This window comes from Homo sapiens, chromosome 17 (genome assembly GCF_000001405.40).
Source record: "Homo sapiens chromosome 17, GRCh38.p14 Primary Assembly".
In the NCBI taxonomy this organism is placed as follows: domain Eukaryota; kingdom Metazoa; phylum Chordata; class Mammalia; order Primates; family Hominidae; genus Homo; species Homo sapiens.
The window spans coordinates 15,650,770-15,668,066 of NC_000017.11; the positions used below are offsets into that span (position 1 = coordinate 15,650,770).

The 17,297-nt window shown below is 46.4% G+C and overlaps 1 protein-coding gene across 8 annotated transcripts in view, besides 2 other annotated features; it reads right to left on the reverse strand.

Annotated features, from left to right (window-relative positions):
* Positions 1-17,297, reverse strand: part of TRIM16 (tripartite motif containing 16) — a 56,346-nt gene that overhangs the window by 22,804 nt on the left and 16,245 nt on the right. For 3 of the 8 annotated variants that reach the window (NM_001348120.1, NM_001348119.1, NM_006470.4), the window contains one exon: positions 322-1,177. The exons of the other annotated variants lie outside the window; for them this stretch is intronic. In NM_001348120.1, the coding sequence (NP_001335049.1) occupies positions 322-840 (519 nt within the window). In that variant the 5' untranslated portion in view covers positions 841-1,177. The remainder of the gene's footprint in view (positions 1-321; positions 1,178-17,297) is intronic. 8 annotated transcript variants of the gene reach the window in all.
* Positions 140-1,089: an enhancer, noted in NCBI's record as "H3K27ac-H3K4me1 hESC enhancer chr17:15554223-15555172 (GRCh37/hg19 assembly coordinates)". NCBI's record gives its function as "activates a minimal SCP1, AML or CMV promoter by ChIP-STARR-seq in naive H9 embryonic stem cells {active_cell/tissue: H9 hESC(naive)}" and the evidence as "EXISTENCE:reporter gene assay evidence [ECO:0000049][PMID:30033119]".
* Positions 8,692-9,194: an enhancer, noted in NCBI's record as "H3K4me1 hESC enhancer chr17:15562775-15563277 (GRCh37/hg19 assembly coordinates)". NCBI's record gives its function as "activates a minimal SCP1, AML or CMV promoter by ChIP-STARR-seq in naive H9 embryonic stem cells {active_cell/tissue: H9 hESC(naive)}" and the evidence as "EXISTENCE:reporter gene assay evidence [ECO:0000049][PMID:30033119]".

The window sequence follows — 17,297 nt, forward strand, 5'->3', positions numbered from 1 at the left end:
CCCTCCACCCAAACACACATCACCAAAAGCTGTATAAGGCACAGCAGGAAACTAGCAAGAAGGAGGAGAGACAGACACAGACAGAGATCGCACAGAGACAGTGGGACAGAGATGGGGACGGAGCAACCTACTCCACACAGTTTCCAAAACCAAGTGCAATGTATATTTACACTGACCCAGCAGGCAGACGCTGAAGCTAGTCTTTTTCAGGTATGCTCAGAGCATAGTAGTGGCGTCAGTGGACCTAGCAGCTGCAGCCAGCTGGGCACACCATCCCCCACCGCCCTCTCCCAAATGGATGAATGGTCCCCAAGCACTCACCTCCTTGTCCCTGCGGGCTGCATCCAGGGAGACTATGGTGTGGCCACTGTGCTCCTGGCAACAGTCCTGGCAGATGCACTGCTGATCAGGGCAGCAGAAGGCAGACAGTGGGCTGTGGTGGGCAGGGCAGTATCGCCAGTTGTGGTCCTTCACTGGCTCGGTCAGCAGGTGGCTTTGCAGTTTGATGTTCACCTGATGCGGCTGCAAGTGCTCTTCACAGTAATTCACCATGCAGGTTAGACAGGACTTCACTGCCTTCACTCTTCTGGTGTCATCAAGGCAGAAGTCACACAGGACCTCTTTCCCCTCACCAGCAGGATCCCCCTGCTCTGCAGAGTCGCTGTCCTGTTCCTCCGTCTCCCTGCCAAGCTTCTCCGAGGAGCCCACGTCCTCTTCTTCCACTGGGCTGGCTGACCCAGAATCTGGGCTGGGTGACCCAGAGTCTGGGCTGAGAGGGGCTGGGGGCTGAGCAGTGGCCCTGGGCAGTGGCCCTGGAGCCATTAGATCCAACTCAGCCATCTGGGAGGCTCTGCTCCTAGGCTGTCTTTCTTCTGTCCCTTGGCCCAGGATCTGTGCAGCCCAAGTCAGACAAGAGAACCACGCCTAGATGATTGCAGCTGCTGCAAGATTTTAACTGTTTCCTCCCTCCCAGAGGAAGCTCGGCCACTCATTACTGTGTGCTGGCGCTGGATGGCAGCCAGATGCGATGACGACAAGGCAGCTAGAGTACTCAGGCTCAGGACAGCCGGCTCAGGCTCAGGCTGCCTCCCCAGGTCCAGCCCTGAAACTTCTATTCTTATGTGAATCATCTGAACCCCATAGGCTCTGCTGAAGACCACGTGTCTCTGTGCCTGCTCTGGAAAGGACAGAAGATTCCTGAGCTCTGTTATAAGCCTGTGTGGCTTTGTGTGGTCTGACAAGCGACATTTTTTTTTGTTTTCATTTTTAAAGAGAAGTAAAATGTAAGGACTTCAACACCAGGACAGCCATTCATCTACTCCCATCTCATAGAACTGGACATGAGGCAGCTAGGAATAGGATGCATGTTTCTTTTCTTTTCTTTTTTTTTTTTTTTGAGACAGAGTCTCACTCTGTCACCCAGGCTGGAGTGCAGTGGTGTGATCTCGGCTCACTGCAACCTCCGCCCTCCGAGTTCAAGTGATTCTCCTGCCTCAGCCTCCCGAGTAGCTGGGATTACAGGCACCTGCCACCGTGCCCGGCTAATTTCTTTTTTTTTTTTTTGTATTTTTAGTAGAGACGGGGTTTCACCATCTTGGCCAGGCTGGTCTTGAACCCCTGATCTCGTGATCCACCCGCCTCGGCCTCCCAAAGTGCTAGGATTACAGGTGAGCCACGGTGCCCACCTTTTTTTTTTTTTTTTTTTTTTTTTTGAGACACAGTCTCACTCTGTCGCCCAGGCTGGAGTGCAGTGTGGGATCTTGGCTCACTGCAACCTCCGCCTCCTGGGTTTGTGATTCTTCTGCCTCAGCCTCCTGAGTAGCTGGGATTACAGGCACCCACCACCACGCCTGGCTCATTTTTGTATTATTAGTAGAGACAGTGTTTCACCATGTTGGCCAGGCTGGTCTCGAACCCTTGACCTCAGGTGATCTGCCTGCCTGGGCTTCCCAATGTGCTGGGATTACAGGCATGAGCCACTGTGCCCAGCCAGGATGCATACTTCTGATGCTGACTTTTCCATATCATCTTCCTGAACATTCCAGTAATGTCCGTCACACTCGTGGAGATGAACATCACGTGGGTACTCAGTGGAGATCAGGAGGGTCAGGGAAGACTTGTCTCCTTCCACAGAATGCTCCCTTCAGGTTAACAGCCCTTTTGCCCACTTAACGAAACATTCCTAGACATGGTGTTATAGTTGAGACACTTGTTCCCACAAACCTCATGCTGAGATTTGATCCCCAATACTGGAGGTGGGGCCTGGTGGGAGGTGTTTGGGTCATAGGGGTGGATCCCTCATGAACGGCTCGGTGCCATCCCCACAGTGATGAGTGAGTTCTCGTTCTATCAATATTAGCTGCCACAAGATCTGATTGTTAAAAAAGAGCCTGGCACCACCCCCTCTCTTAATTCCTCTCTCTCCATGTGACCTGCCCACTCCAGCTCCCCTACCCCTTCCACTGTGGATGGAAGCGGCCTGAGGCCCTCACCAGAAGCAGATGCCAGCACCATGCTTCTTGTACAGCCTGCAAAACCGTGAGCCAAAAGATCTGTTTTCTTTATACGTTACCCCCACCCCCTCAGGTATTCCTTTACAGCAACACAAACACAGTAAGACGCATGGTGTGTGAGCTTGCCAGGGCTGCCATAGCAAAGAACCATACACTGGTTGGCTTCAACAACAGAAACTCATTTCCTCACAGTTCTAGAAGCTGGATCAAGTCACTGGCAGGGATGCTTTCTTCTGAGGCCTCTCTCCTTGGCTTGCAGATGGCTTCTCCTATGTCTTCACATGGTCTTCCCTTTGTACGTATCTGTGTCCTAATCTCCTCTTCTTATAAGAACACCAGTAAGACTAGATTAGGGCCCACCCTCAATTACCTGTTTAAAGACTTTCTCCCCAAATACAGTCACATCTGAGGTATTAAGGGCAAAGATTTCAACATACACATTTGTAGGGGAAGGAGACACAATTCAGCCCGTAACACACGGTCAGGGCATGAGCTTGGAAGCCTCTAGCTCCTTAGAAGAAAGAGGCTGCGAGGCATGACCCCTGGACGGGGGTACACAGTGTACCCAGCGTTTGCAGATGGATACAAAGGAATCCAGGATTATTCCAGGGTACCTGAACCCCAAATTCTAGAGCTTTCTACAGTTTTCCCTGGGATTATTTAATCAGATACATTTGAACTCAAATGAATTTGGAAGGCGAATGGAAGAGAGAGAGATTGGGTGGAGGGGGAGGGGTCAGATCCACCTAGCCCCAGGGATCAGGCATTAGGATGGTTCCAAGATATTACACTCCCTATGGCTCTGCATCCCTGCGGTGAGTTCTATAGGATTTGGATTAAACTAAATAAACACAGGGATGTTTCTTGTCACTGACTAGTACTTTTCAGAAATCCGAGAGACCTAGTGACTACTCAGAGTTAGAAGGCACCGAAGACTTTACAAATTCATTCCAGACACAGTGCTGTTTATTTTCAACCACGCATAGAATACGCATAAGTAGCCCTTTTTAGCGATGTAACGTTTCCTCACTGTCCCTGTCCTGACTGCCCTCTTCCACTGCTGAAGACCCTCAGGAGAGGTTTCCTTCTTTCTGATCCTGGCCAGGGTCAGAAACATGCATCCTATTCCTAGCTGCCTCAGGTCCAGTTCTACTGGAAAAGGAATTAAAAGAAATTAAAGAACGTGTAAGCAAAAATTCATTGTATGTAAGAAAACCCAATTCCCCCTGAGGAAGAGAAAGAGCTGAAGTCCTTTAAAAATTAACTGCTTGTTTTTCTGTGGCCAGTGAGCCTTTTCTCTCCCTTTCCCAGGCATTGTGAAGACGCTGTTTCTCTAGCTCTGCAGCTGCAAGGTCACTAGGCAGATAAACTCAAGTTGTAAAACATGTTTTTTCCTTGAAAAGTAAGAAATGATGTAATGCATGTCTTAATTGAATAACTGTCTTTGTTTCTCGCTTCTGTAATATGCTTCCCCCTGCACAGATCTCCCCCTGCCCCATAAAATGCTTAAAAGGTAACCAGACTATTTGTTCGGGCTCAGTCTTTTTGGATGTTAATCTGACTGGGCCAGTGCACCTAAATAATAAATAATAAGTATCCTCCTCAATCCCTTGGTCTCTTTGATTCCTTAATTATCCCACAGCACTATGAGATGGGGAAAGATGAATAGCTGTCCCGTCATTGAAGTCCTTATATTTTGAGTCCTTTTTAAAAATTGAAAAAAAAAAATGTAGCTTGTCAGAGACCACACAAAGCCATACAGGCTTCTGTCAGAGCTCTGGAATTTAATTTCATGGTTTTCATGTCTCCAGCCAGGAGGACTGGCTTCTCCCAGTCCAGACCATTGTCAGTGTTTTCTCCAGTATTAATGGACAGGTGGCTTTCCTTTTAATCCCTTTTTCAGAGTGACCTGGTACTGGAGGCTGAACTGGTCCACCCGCATACCATAGGGCCTCTGATCTCTCTGAGAATGGGGAAGAAAAGGTAGTTGCCCTGCCTGGCCCTTTCTACAGCTTCAGTAGAAATCAGAAGGCATACATCCTGCTTGGGTTTCCACGTGGCTCACTTCTTCCTCATTCCTTCCCTCCCTATCTCATTCCCACCCTTTCTTCTCTCATGAATTGTTTCATACCTGCTTCTCTATGGCTAACCCTTTTAGAGCAGTTCATGGGAGTGCTCAGCCCTTCATCAATGCCCCACTGAAGTCCTGAGCTAGCAGACATTCCACAGTGGTGTGGAAAACAGGAAATGGGAATGTGGGCCCTAGCCTGGCCTGTGCCAATCATTTGATCTCTCTCTTTTTTTTTTTTTGAGACGGAGTATCGCTCTGTCGCCCAGGCTGGAGTTCAGTGGCATGATCTCGGCTCACTGCAAGCTCTGCCTCCCGGGTTCATGCCATTCTCCTGCCTCAGCCTCCCGAGTAGCTGGGACTACACGCACCCACCACCATGCCTGGTTAATTTTTTGTATTTTTAGTAGAGACGGGGTTTCACCGTGTTAGCCAGGATGGTCTCAATCTCCTGACCTCGTGATCTGCCCGCCTCGGCCTCCCAAAGTGCTGGGAGTACAGGTGTGAGCCACCGCGCCCAACGCGTGTCCCCACTTAACCTTAGTTTCCTTGTCCATGAAATGAGTATGTTGTCCTAAGTCAGGGCCGGTAAATCAATTTCTAGTTTGGCCCTCTGAGGAATTATGTTGCGGTGGGGTCTAAGTGCATGTCCGAGCTCAATGGGAGACGGCATCATGCTCAGGTTGGGATATTTGGCAGGGGCATGGGATTAGGAGTGGTGGCCCCTCTGGAGGCTCATCTTCAGCCCTCTGGGACCACAAAATTCACCACAACTTCTAAGTCCCCTCTAATGCCAACCCTCAAAGCAGAACACCACTAGGCCCAAGCTCTGATCCTGCTTCCAGGGACAGTGACACATCCCATCAAGTCTCAAATGCCCATGCTCAAACCCCCAGCACCCAAATATTGAGGCTAGAAAGTCACATGATTCTTTTGAACTCAAATTCCCTATTGCTTCAAAGGCTCTACAGTCACCACCCCACTTTGCTCCCACTGAGCCCTGGGGCATCTTGATACTCTGTCTCTCCTCGGATTCTGCTTTGCTCCTTGTCTTAACCAAAACTTGAATGTCCCCCAAAGACAATTTCTCCTGCCACCTCTCAACCCGTGTAGCTCCTTCTCTCATTTCCTATGCCTAGGTGGATGGGAGTCCTCCTCAGCCCCCATCACAACATCTAGACCATCGCCCCTCCCCAGCCCCTTTGCAAACCCTGCTCCCCTTATGTGCCCCAAAATACCACGCCTCCTCTCCTCCTGGCTGTCTTCTACAGCCTCCCAGTCATTCCCCTTAGTGACAGAAGATTTAACGCTTCTGGCTCCCAGCCTCCCCCTCTACCCCAGCTCTGTTATTCTCAGAACGTTCTACCTCTGAATGCCTTCTTTGTTTTTTATTTGGTTGGTTTGGTTTTTGTTTTTTGAAACAGGGTCTCAAAACTTTGTCGCCCAGGCTGTAACGTAGTGGTGCAATCACAGCTCACTGCAGCCTCAACCTCCCAGGCTCAAGTGATCCTCCCACCTCAGCCCTCAGCCTCCCAAGTAGCTGGGACTACAAGTGCTCCACCACACTTGGCTAATTTGTAAGTTTTTAAATTTTTTGTAGAGATGGGGTCTCACTATGTTGCCCAGGTGAGTTTCAAACTCCTGGGCTCATGCAATCCTCCCTTCACAACCTCCCAAACTGCTGGGATTACAAGTGTGAGCCACTGCATCCAGCCTCTGAATGCTTGCCACCTACCCTATGGTCACCACCCACATCTGGATTTATTTTTATTTTTAATTGTGATAAAATACAGATAAATACACATAAAATACAAATAACATAAAATTTACCATCTTAACTGCTTTTATTAAAAGACAGGATCTTGTTATGTTGCCCAGGCTGGGTTGTTTGTTTGTTTGTCTTTGAGACAGGGTCTCCCTCTGTTGCCCAGGCTAGATTGTAGTGGTGTGATCACAGCTCACGGCAGCCTTGAACTCCTGGGCTCAAGTGATCCTCCCATCTCCACCTCCCAAGTAGCTGGGATTACAGGTGCACACTACTGTGCCTGGCTCATTATAACCATTGGTAAGTGTACAGTTCAGTGGCTTTAAGTACATTCACACTGTTGTGCAGTTGTCACCACCATCTATCTCCACAACTCTTTTCATCTTGCAAAACTGAAACTGTAGCCATTAACCAATAACTCCTCATTCCCTCTCCCCCTCCAGCCTTTGGAAGCTACCGTTCTACTTTCTGTCTATAATTGTGACTACTCTAGGCACTTCATAGGAGTGAAATCATACAGTGTTTGTCTTTTTGTGACTGGCTTATTTCACTTGGCATAATGTCTTCAAGGTTCATTCATATCGTAGCATGCATCTGAATTTCCTTCCTCACACCTGGAGTCTGCATTCAACAGAAATCCCAACCTCCAAACTTAAGAATTGAGAATCCTACTGACTATGCCTACAGCTTGCTTAAATGCCCCGTGGAAAAAATGCCTCAGGTTCATCAGGTGTTGATTGGACATCATTGGCTTCCTCTTAACCCCAAGCATTCAGGGGCTAAAATGAAGTATCTCTTGCATAAAATGAAGTGTCTCTCTTGCCTTCACAAAACAAATGTAACTTCACCTAGATATTCTTTTTTCCTAAACCAAACCTACCACCAGGAATGTGAGGTCAAGGTGTGGTTCAGGATTCCTTTCCAGAATTGAGGGAGGAATCCCCACCCAGAATTCTGATGACTCAAATGCTACCAAGATATGTGGTAGGCAATTGGCAGTAGGTAGGTAAGTATTCATCTTTCATCCTGTTGAGTCTTGACAAATAATCCCACCAATGGACAAACTCTGAAAGTTATGTCCTCTGAAAGGATATAAGCAATGCCTGCCAACAGGTTCCCTCCTGGTTTAGGGGTTTAAGGCCATCATTCTCAGGACTCTAGGTTAACTCAAGTAAGAAGAGCTTTCTTAACCCAAAGACTCTCTCTAGCAGTTTCTGGCTAAAGAAGCTATCCAAGCGTTTTTGCTAAGCCAAAACAGCCTTTCATTTGTCTCTTCAAAAATCTCACTGGATTTTTTTCCTCATTTGTGTCTCTGCTGAGTCACACAGAGCTATGATTCACAAACACAGGTAATATTTGTCCACCAGACTTCAAGACAAATCAGCCCATCAGACTGAGAAAAATAAAAATAATATCATAAACTGATCGTAACCCTGAATTTGATTGATTTATGGGACTGTACTTTATTGAGATTGTGTCCTTCCTCCTTTTCTGGAATTAAAGGTCTTATCTTTTCTGAAATAATAGTAATGAGTGTAGGATTGGGAATGTCCGGAAGAGTGACATCTAAGTCAGTCCTCCAAATTCACTTTGCAATTTTTCTCGTAAAATCTCAAAGTCTGAGAACCACTGAGCTGGAAGTCGCATCACTCCTCTAGAAACCAGCCCAGAATTTTACTGGCTTACCTGGAGGTGCAGGCCCAATGAACTTTCTGGTTTGGGGTCACTATCAGCAAACTGGTCTCCAGCCCTGTCTTTCTCCTAAAAGAAGAAGATGGCCTCTTGGATCACTTTGGTAATTAATTACCACTAACAAAGGAACGAAATAAAGGTGAGACAAACAGCAGATTACAGACACTAAGGGCCGTTGCTCCTAGTCTCAGAACACGATTGTTGTAATGACGGCTCCTCCGCAAGAAGGAGGGGCTGTCCCAGGGCACTGCGTGTACCTTCCCTTCACAAAGACAGGAGGACACACCAGTTGGTACAGAGACGAGATTGCCAGCTCAGTACCTGGCACACAGCCTGAAGGACCCCACTACTGGATGAAGAAAACACCGAAGTCAGCTTCAACTATGCCCTTAGCGACGGACATCTGCCAGCTAAGGAGGTGCACCACGGTCATTTCTTCCCTAAGTCTCCGAAGGTCTAGTCCTGGGCTGTTCTAGGGTTCTCTTTTGTCTTCCAGTGAGGTGTGGCTGTGGTGCACGGGCACCGCTTTGATCACTTCTCAGACCACCCAAGCTTACGGGGCCAGAATTAGCAGCTAGACCACCTAGAAACCTACTTGGGGGAGTCTGCAATGCCCTGGAAATGGAGAGCTCAAGAATTTGACCACATCTCAAATGACTCTCAGTAAATTCCAGACACAAGGGCGTGACATTTTATGCGGCACATAGCACATTTGAACTATGCTTTGTTGAATCTCCATATCAACCTCTGTAATAACTCTAACATTGGTATGAAACCCAAATAATCACACAAATCTAACTCTAGTTACCTTTATGGCTTATGCCTAAAAATGTCAAAACAACCTACACATAATAAATGAAGTAAATCTTTAAAAAATCTGTAACAAATGTTCTCTTGCCCTGGGACAGGAGATGGTTTCCCAGGCCGGCTCCCCTGAGGCCCTGAGCCAATTGTTGTTTCAGCACTGCTGGTTTTCTAGAACTTGGGCAGCTGTCCAGCTCCCAGTCAAAATGGGCACCTCTAATCTTGCTATTTGCTGGGATACCACACATTCCAGGGAGCCGCACTCACCTTCAAAAAGGGCAGACTTATCTCAGGCCAGGTGTGAATGCCTCCAGGGCACTGAGAAGCAGCTCAGCAAGGCCAATGGCCAGGGCAGGGCAGGCCGGGCTTGCTGGGCAGGAGCACACAGGTAGGTAAGCGAACAGACACCTTCAGGTAGCAACAAGTTACAGGGTGAGGGTGAGGGTCCTCTTGTTTTTACTAGTGAGATATAGCCCTTCAGTGTTGGAAAGAATCTCAGAAAACCATCCCCTCCACCCTTCACCTTCCCAATATTTACTCAGAGGTTTGTTTTTTCTTTTTTTAAACAATAAGTAAGGACCACAGACCTAGACCCCTCAACAAAGGAAGGAAAAAGCATTGTTCATTCAAGGGCCAAAAAATGTGCCCCTCCCTCGATTGCTGTGGCCAGGGCCAGAGGACAATGAGCCGGTTCCTCTATAAACAACATAGTCTGCCTCAGCCAAGTCCGCTAGGGATGGCTTATGTCTCAGCAGCCACTGAAGCTCAATTCTTCATTCCACTTCCCCTAGGACACTCATTTGCTCAAATGGTTTTGATTTCCACCTCACTGCTGAAAACCAGATGGTTAAACACTCCATATTTCTATACCCCTGATTGTCTGCATGGAGGAAGCCTAACATCTGTACGTGGGTTTCCTGGGATGAGAGGCAGCCCTCCTCCAATCATGGTGCATAGACTCAGGAAGCAAACAAAGCAACAAGAATGCTCGAAAGAATACAGAGGGGCCGGGCGCGGTGGCTCACACCTGTAATCCCAGCACTTTGGGAGGCCGAGGTGGGTGGATCACGAGGTCAGGAGATTGAGAACAACCTGGCTAACACGGTGAAACCCCATCTCTACTAAAAATACAAAAAATTAGCCGGGCGTGGTGGCAGGCGCCTGTAGTCCCAGCTACTTGGGAGGCTGAGGCAGGAGAATGGTGTGAACCTGGGAGGCAGAGCTTGCAGTGAGCCAAGATCGTGCCACTGCACTCCAGCCTGGGCGACAGAGCGAGACTCCATCTCAAAAAAAAAAAAAAAAAAAAAAAAAGAACACAGAGGGGGCTATTGCCTCCGTGAGAGCAAAATAACCACTGCCTTGTCAAGAGTATTTTAGTAGGAAGGAAACAGGCATATTAATCAGAAGACCTGGTAAATGGTAGATGTTATGGAGGGCTCCCAATATGGTCAGAAAGAAAATCTGGAGTTAGAAGTGTCAAGTGGTCAGAGTCCTGATCCCAGCACCTTTTAGCTGTGTGACCTTTGTAAGTAGCTTACCTCTCTGAATCTGTTTCCTCCTCTAAAATGGGGATGTAGTATCTGCTCCAATAAACTTACAACAACCTTACAAAAACCTTACAGTTTGTGAGAAAATGAAAGTGAACACATCATGCAAATGCAAAGGAACTTGTATGCTAATCTTATGGGTACAAACACAGCAGGATTTGAGGAGGTGAAGGCTCCTTCCAGCGAGTTCTCTTAAGCTGTGAGACAAGGAGCTGGCCAAGGATCACCCTCCTCTCTCTAAAATGTAAGAAACCCCAACTTCCCCAGAAGCCTGTCACATTTATAGGCAACATTCATATTTCGCAGCTCCTTTCCCTGTGTACTAAGCAAGGGTCTCGGATCTGCCCAACCCCTCCTCTCAGTGTTTCTTGGAGTCCCTGGGGCACTGTCTTCCACTGGGCACCTTCTTTTCCTATCATTGCTGCCTCTGATGCCCTGCAGTCCAAATGGTGCCCAGGTTGCCTGGTAATGAAGTATAATATATTGTTTGTTAGATGAAGCCCAGAGCAAGGATGCTTAGTACAATGTGTCCCTCTAATGTTACTGAAACTGCTCATTCTCTTTACTCAGAGCGCCTTTTCTCCCTTAAGCTCCATGACGCCATGGAAGCTGGCTTGAGAGCAGCTCCTAGTGACAGATTCTGGCCTATTTAGACCCACTTTCCCACTCTGACCCTGAAATTCTGAGGTGTAGCTAAGCTTATAATTAACTCCTTCTCTCAGGATGCATTTTCCATTAGGAGGCCCCTGCTGGGGTGCCCCACAAGTGAACTACACAGGCCCAGGCATCTGAATCCCAAACTCAAGCTCCGTTCTAAATACCTCCTGGAAGAACATAGCTTTTTGTTTTTTCTTCCACAGTTTGGAAAACATGACCCTCCGACATCCATGCACTCCAGCTCCCAGGATGGGCTCTGTTTATCTGCACCAGACTTGGTTACTGCAGCCTGTCGGCCAGTGGTGACTGCTTCAGGGATAAAGAAGTCTTTGCAAATTTAAGTTGATGATATATGGAAAGAACACTGATGGCGTTTCCTTGGCTCTTAAAAGAGATATTTGTAAAACCGGCCTCTTTCCCCATGAGGAGTCAGAAATGGGGACTCCCAATGATGGAGTCAGAATTTAAATGCACACTTGTGACTCCAAAGCTTAAAAAGCTACTGTGGGGGACCTTCTTGTGGATCCTGGGATAGGAAGTGGCTGCTCCTGAGTCCCTCCAGTTTTCTTGAGTCCCAGATTCCTTAACACAACTTCACTGGGCTTTCTTTAAACTTCTTAGTTGATACTCACCCATTTCTTCTACTATTTACACACAATGCACACATTCTATTTTGAATCTCCTGGTTTTCCATTCTTAAATTTCATCTTTCCTGTAGTTGGACCCGCAGAACATGCCAGCCTCAACTCCCAAAGAGCATTTCTAGCACAAAGCTATTATTTTCATTCATGTGTTGTCTCGAGCTTGAGAGCAGATCAGCCTTTGAAAGCTGCCACTGCTGCTGCCACCACCAGCACCATCATAGCTGACTACACATTCTGTGCAGGGACTGTGCTAAGCAGGGAATACATTATCTACATGAGATACAGGGTTTTACAGATAAGAAAACAGTAACTTAATGAGATTGGGTAACTGACCCAAACCCATACATCTGATATATAGTGGAGTCAGAATTCAAATGCACACTGGTGATTACAGGGCCAGAAGCGGTCTTGGTAGGCTACATGAGGACGTTCTGGCTAATTCCAGGATAGGGCAGGGCTACTACTAGGTATCTTACAGTTGCTCAGAGGAGAGGGAGGTGGTGACTCACTAGCAGATTTGTGAGTTTCTTTAGACTTGGGCTGGTGGTGAAGAAGCTGGGCTGTGAACCCTCAGTTCCTAATTGACTGTCAGCTCTGTCTTCTCGGGAGCCTTCTCCTCCCCAAGAGAGGAGGACAAGGGCACAATACCCCCTCAGGAACTGGCATTTCTTCTTTCTCCTGAAACATCTTTCCTCATTTTAACTCTTTCCCAACCACCCAAGTGCCCTCTGGATACGTCCATTTGTCCCAGTCTGGCCTGGCCTGGCAGGTAACTTGGAAAATATTTGCACGTGCCACTCTCCTCTCCACTCAGGATCGCTTCATTCATTCATTATTTATTCTGCAGCCATTAGATGCTGAACACTAGATACTTATTTGTGGAGGTCACAAAATAAGTACAGAATATGACACACGCCCTGCCCATGAAGAGCACAGCTGCCAGTTCTATATTTACAATATCTCTGGAATTCCACCTTCCCTTCTAATTTGACTGATATTTCTGCTTCTCAGGCAGCAGCAGCCTTCTGGCAACCATGAGAACCAACGTGAGGACTAGGTCAGTAAGCCGAGGATAAAGAAACAGAAAAATGGAAAGAGCCCCAGTGACACTGTTGAGCTGTTAAACTATCTAAACTGCTTGTTTTCAGGCTTTAAATCATGTAAGATAACGTGTCCTTATTGCTGCAGCCGGAAGCATCCTAAATGGTACACTCTCTCCAGGTGCCAGGAAAGATGCCAAATAGCAGGCCCAAACTGTCTCCTTACAGCTTGGGGTCCAAAACTGGAAAGGACCTTGTCCCTACCAGTCTCCATACAATGAATGCCATGAGAGAACTCTGGCTGATCCTGTTCACTCCGCTTGCCCACCCCGGGTCAATCCCATGTCTGGTCAGATGCAGTGCTGTCATCAGCCCAGGATGCAGTATTGGGTTATGGGTCTCCCATGTGGCCACAATGGAGGGCACTGTGTTTGACTAAAACCACACGTGGTGTGTACAGGCCCCATGGTGAATACAGACAGACCACAGCAAACCATCTGCTAAAATGGGGTTTAAAAATGAAGTTAACACTTGGTTCCGAGATCCATCTATGAAAGCAAAACAGGTTCTAGGAGCCAGATGTGGCAGCGGTTGTATGGCAGAAAGGGTGGTACAGGTGGATTTCATACATTGATACTTAAAAAGGGAGAAAAGGGCAAGAAATCCATTTTAAGGTTGAAGAAGCAGCACAGATGATCCCATCTTCTCTTCTAGGGCAGAGAAGCAGGCACAGGTGAAACTCAAAACAGAGCACGTAGCAGGACTGGACGTAGCCTTAGGGAACCTAGGCTTGGGTTAAGCTGAAAAAGTATGAATCTATTCAGCACCAGGTTTGGCCACAACTGGTTAGAGAATTTGTAAAGCACAGAAGACGGGGACAGTAAATATGAGAGCTGGAGGAGAGTGAAAGTAATGAAAGCCAGTGGGCATGGTGGCTCACACCTGTAATCCCAGCATTCTAGGAGGCCGAGGTGGGCGGATCACTTGAGGTCAGGAGTTTGAGTGACAACAAAGGTGGGCAAAACACTGATGTGATCCAGACAGAGACGACCTGTGGCCACAAGCGCCCTGTTCTGTTTAGATCTGCGCTCTCTTCCCAGCAGGATCCATCAACTCTAGCGTCTCAGAGCTAGACAGACTACGTCCTAGGAAAATGCGCCTCGGGGAGGCTTCCTGAGTGAAGTGGCTCCTGTCACAGTATCAACGTCATGATGTGTCTTATATCTGCTGCCCCGACCAAGAACCAGGAAACAGGCCGGGCGCGGTGGCTCACTCCTGTCATCCCAGCGCTCTGGAAGGCCAAGGTGGGTGGATCACTTGAGATCAGTTCGAGATCAGCCTGGCCAACATGGTGAAACCCCGACTCTACTAAAAATACAAAAATTAGCCAGGTGTGGTGGCATGTGCCTATAATCCCAGCTACTTGGGAGGGTGAGGTGGGAGGATTGCTTGAACCCGGGAGGTGGAGGTTGCAGTGAGCAGAGATGGCACCATTGCACTCCAGCCTGGGCAACAGAGTGAGACTCCGTCTCAAAAAAAAAAAAAAAAAAAAAAGGCATAGGCAGTTGGGTGGTACTGTAAACCACCTGCTCAACAGGGTGTGTTTGCTTCTGGAAAGTTTTATTATTTGCTTTTTTAAGCTGCTGCTATACAACTCACTGAAAACCAACTTTTCATTATTTAATGGCATGAGAAAAGGATCACATTAAGTAGTTTTAAAGAGGCTGTAGAGGCCGGGCGCAGTGGCTCATGCCTGTAATCCCAGCACTTTGGGAGGCTGCGGCGGGCAGATCACGAGGTCAGATCGAGACCATCCTGGCTAACCCAGTGAAACCCCATCTCTACTAAAAACACAAAAAATTAGCCGGGCATGGTGGTGGGTGCCTGTAGTCCCAGCTACTCAGGAGGCTGAGGCAGGAGAATGGCGTGAACCCGGAAGGCAGAGCTTGCCATGAGCCGAAATGGTGCCACTGCACTCCAGCCTAGGCGAGAGTGCAAGACTCTATCTAAAAAATAAAAAGAATAAAAAAAATAAAGAAAGAAAACAACATAATGTATCGGGAAACCAGATAATGAATGGGTAACATTCAAGTGATAACACATTCTCCTGGCTGCCCACATCTCAGTGGCCATTACTTTTCAGTCCAATTTTCTTATTCCTCTTCCTCTGCCTGAAAAGGTGAGAGGCTCTTTGAAGCTCAACTCAAGATCACTTCTTCCCAACTTAGTCTCTCTTCCTAGATGAGCTCATCCATTCCTACGCCTTCAGTTACCACCTGTTTATGGCTCACAAACTGATGTCTCAGCTCAACTTTCAGACCTGTATATCCAACTACTTTCTAAGTATAAAGACTTGACTTTCTCACAGGCACCTTGAATCTAATGCATCCAAAATTAAATGTAAGGCCTCCCTAGATCCCAACACAACAAATTTAACCCTCCTCATGTTCTTTTCTCAGAGATTGCCACCAGCACCCAACTAGATTACAAATCAGAAACCCAGGGAGCATCCCTACCTCCTCTCTTTCCGTCACAACCCATGTCCATACCATCACCATTTTACATCTCACACATCTCCAAACCCTTTACCCTTTATATTTCCACTGCTATTACTAGAGTCCAAGCCATCATTGTCTCTCGCCTGGATTATGGCAATAGGCTCCACACTAGAATTCCTACATCTACTCATTGCTTTTGCCAATCCATTCTCCATTCTGCATCCAGAGAAAGCTTTTCATTTATGTATTTATTTATTTTTATTTTTTAGAGATAGGGTCTCACTGTATTGCCCAAGTTAGACTCGAACTCCTGCTCTCAAGTGATCCTTTTGCCTTGGCCTCCCAAAGTGTTGGGATTATAAGCGTGAGCCACTGCACCCACCCTCAGAGAAAGCTTTTTAAAAAAATCAACTTTACTGAGGTATACTTTACATGCAATAAAATTCACCTATTTTAAGCATCCAGGTGAATGAGTTTTGACAAATAACTCCATTCTGGTAACCACCACCCAATCAAGATAGAGAATATTGGCAGCACCCAGGAAGCTCCCTCATGCCCTTTTATTCAATCTTTCTACCATGCCTGGTTCCAGGCAACGAAGAATCTGAGTTTTATCATTATAAATTAGTTTTGCTTGTGCTGGAACTTCATATAAATGGAAATATATAGTAGGCACTATTGTGTCTGGCTTATTTCACTCAATAAAACATCTATGAGATTCATCCATGTCATGGTGCGTATCAGTAGCCTGTTGTTTTCACTGCTGAGTAGCATTCCATGCTATGTCTGTAACCAAGCGTGTTCATCCATTACCCTGCTGATGAGCATTTGGGTTTGTTCTACATTTGGGCTATTTGGTATTATCTTTACCCCATCCTTTTACCAGCCTACCTGGCTCTTGATATTTAAAATGCATCTCTTACGGGCATCGTGTAAGAAAGTCTTGTTTTTTATTCAGTCTAATAATCTCTGCCTTGGGGGGGCGGTGGATGGAGCAGAACTAATAGGCTTATGAATGGGATAAGTCTAAAAGCATAAAGTATTTGTAGAGTCTTGCCTTCCTTCATCTTACATAAACTCCAGATACCTGCTGTTACCCAGTGGTTCTAAAAGCAAGATCTATGGACCCTTGATGCTTCACTGAGACCCTTTCAGGGATGTGTGAGGTCAAAACTATTTTCATGATAACACTTGAGTATTCTTTGCTATTTTCACCATATTGTCATTTGCGCAATGATGCAGGAGCAATAGTGAGTAAAATTGCTGAGGCCTCAGCACATATCAAAGCAGTGGCACCAAACTGTGCTAGCAGTCATTGTACTTTTCCACACACTCAAAAATTGAAAATAAATTTTAAAAAAAGCCAGTTTCATTTAAGAATGTACTTGATAACAACAGTAAAAATTATTAATTTCATTATATCTCAACTCTCGAGTACATGACTTTATAACATTCTAAGTAACAAAATAGGACTTCTGATTGTTTTCCAGCAAAAATGTACACGTGCAATTGTGTAAGATGCAAGCAGAAGTAGCTTTTTTTTTCCCCCAGAGAGAATATTTATCAATTAACTTCCTGATACACATCTATGATACTTTCTTCTTCCTATATGTTTTGGTTGACTTCTCTTCGAATGCTTCTTCATCTAAGAATTCCATCATTTCTATGGAAAGAATAAATTCTCTACCATGGTAGATCAAACTCTTTTTTAAAGAGTTCCTATATACCCCACACCCAATAGGGGTACATAAGACCCTTCAATCTTTCTACCACAGGGGTACACAACACCTCTACTGTTAACATCTTACGTTACTCTATGATAGTTTGTCACAATTAATGAACTAATATTGATACATTATTAACTGACGTCCATACTTACTCAGATTTTCTTTTTTTTTTTTCTAGTGTCCTTTGTATGTCCCAGGATCCCGCCGGGACACTGTTCCACTCTCAACCCCACAGTAGCCACTATCTTATAACCCTTGAGTGATCTCACCTAGCTCATGTTCAGCTTGCCTCTCAACCTTCGGCTTACAAGGGACCTATCCATGTACTCGTGTACGCTCTTA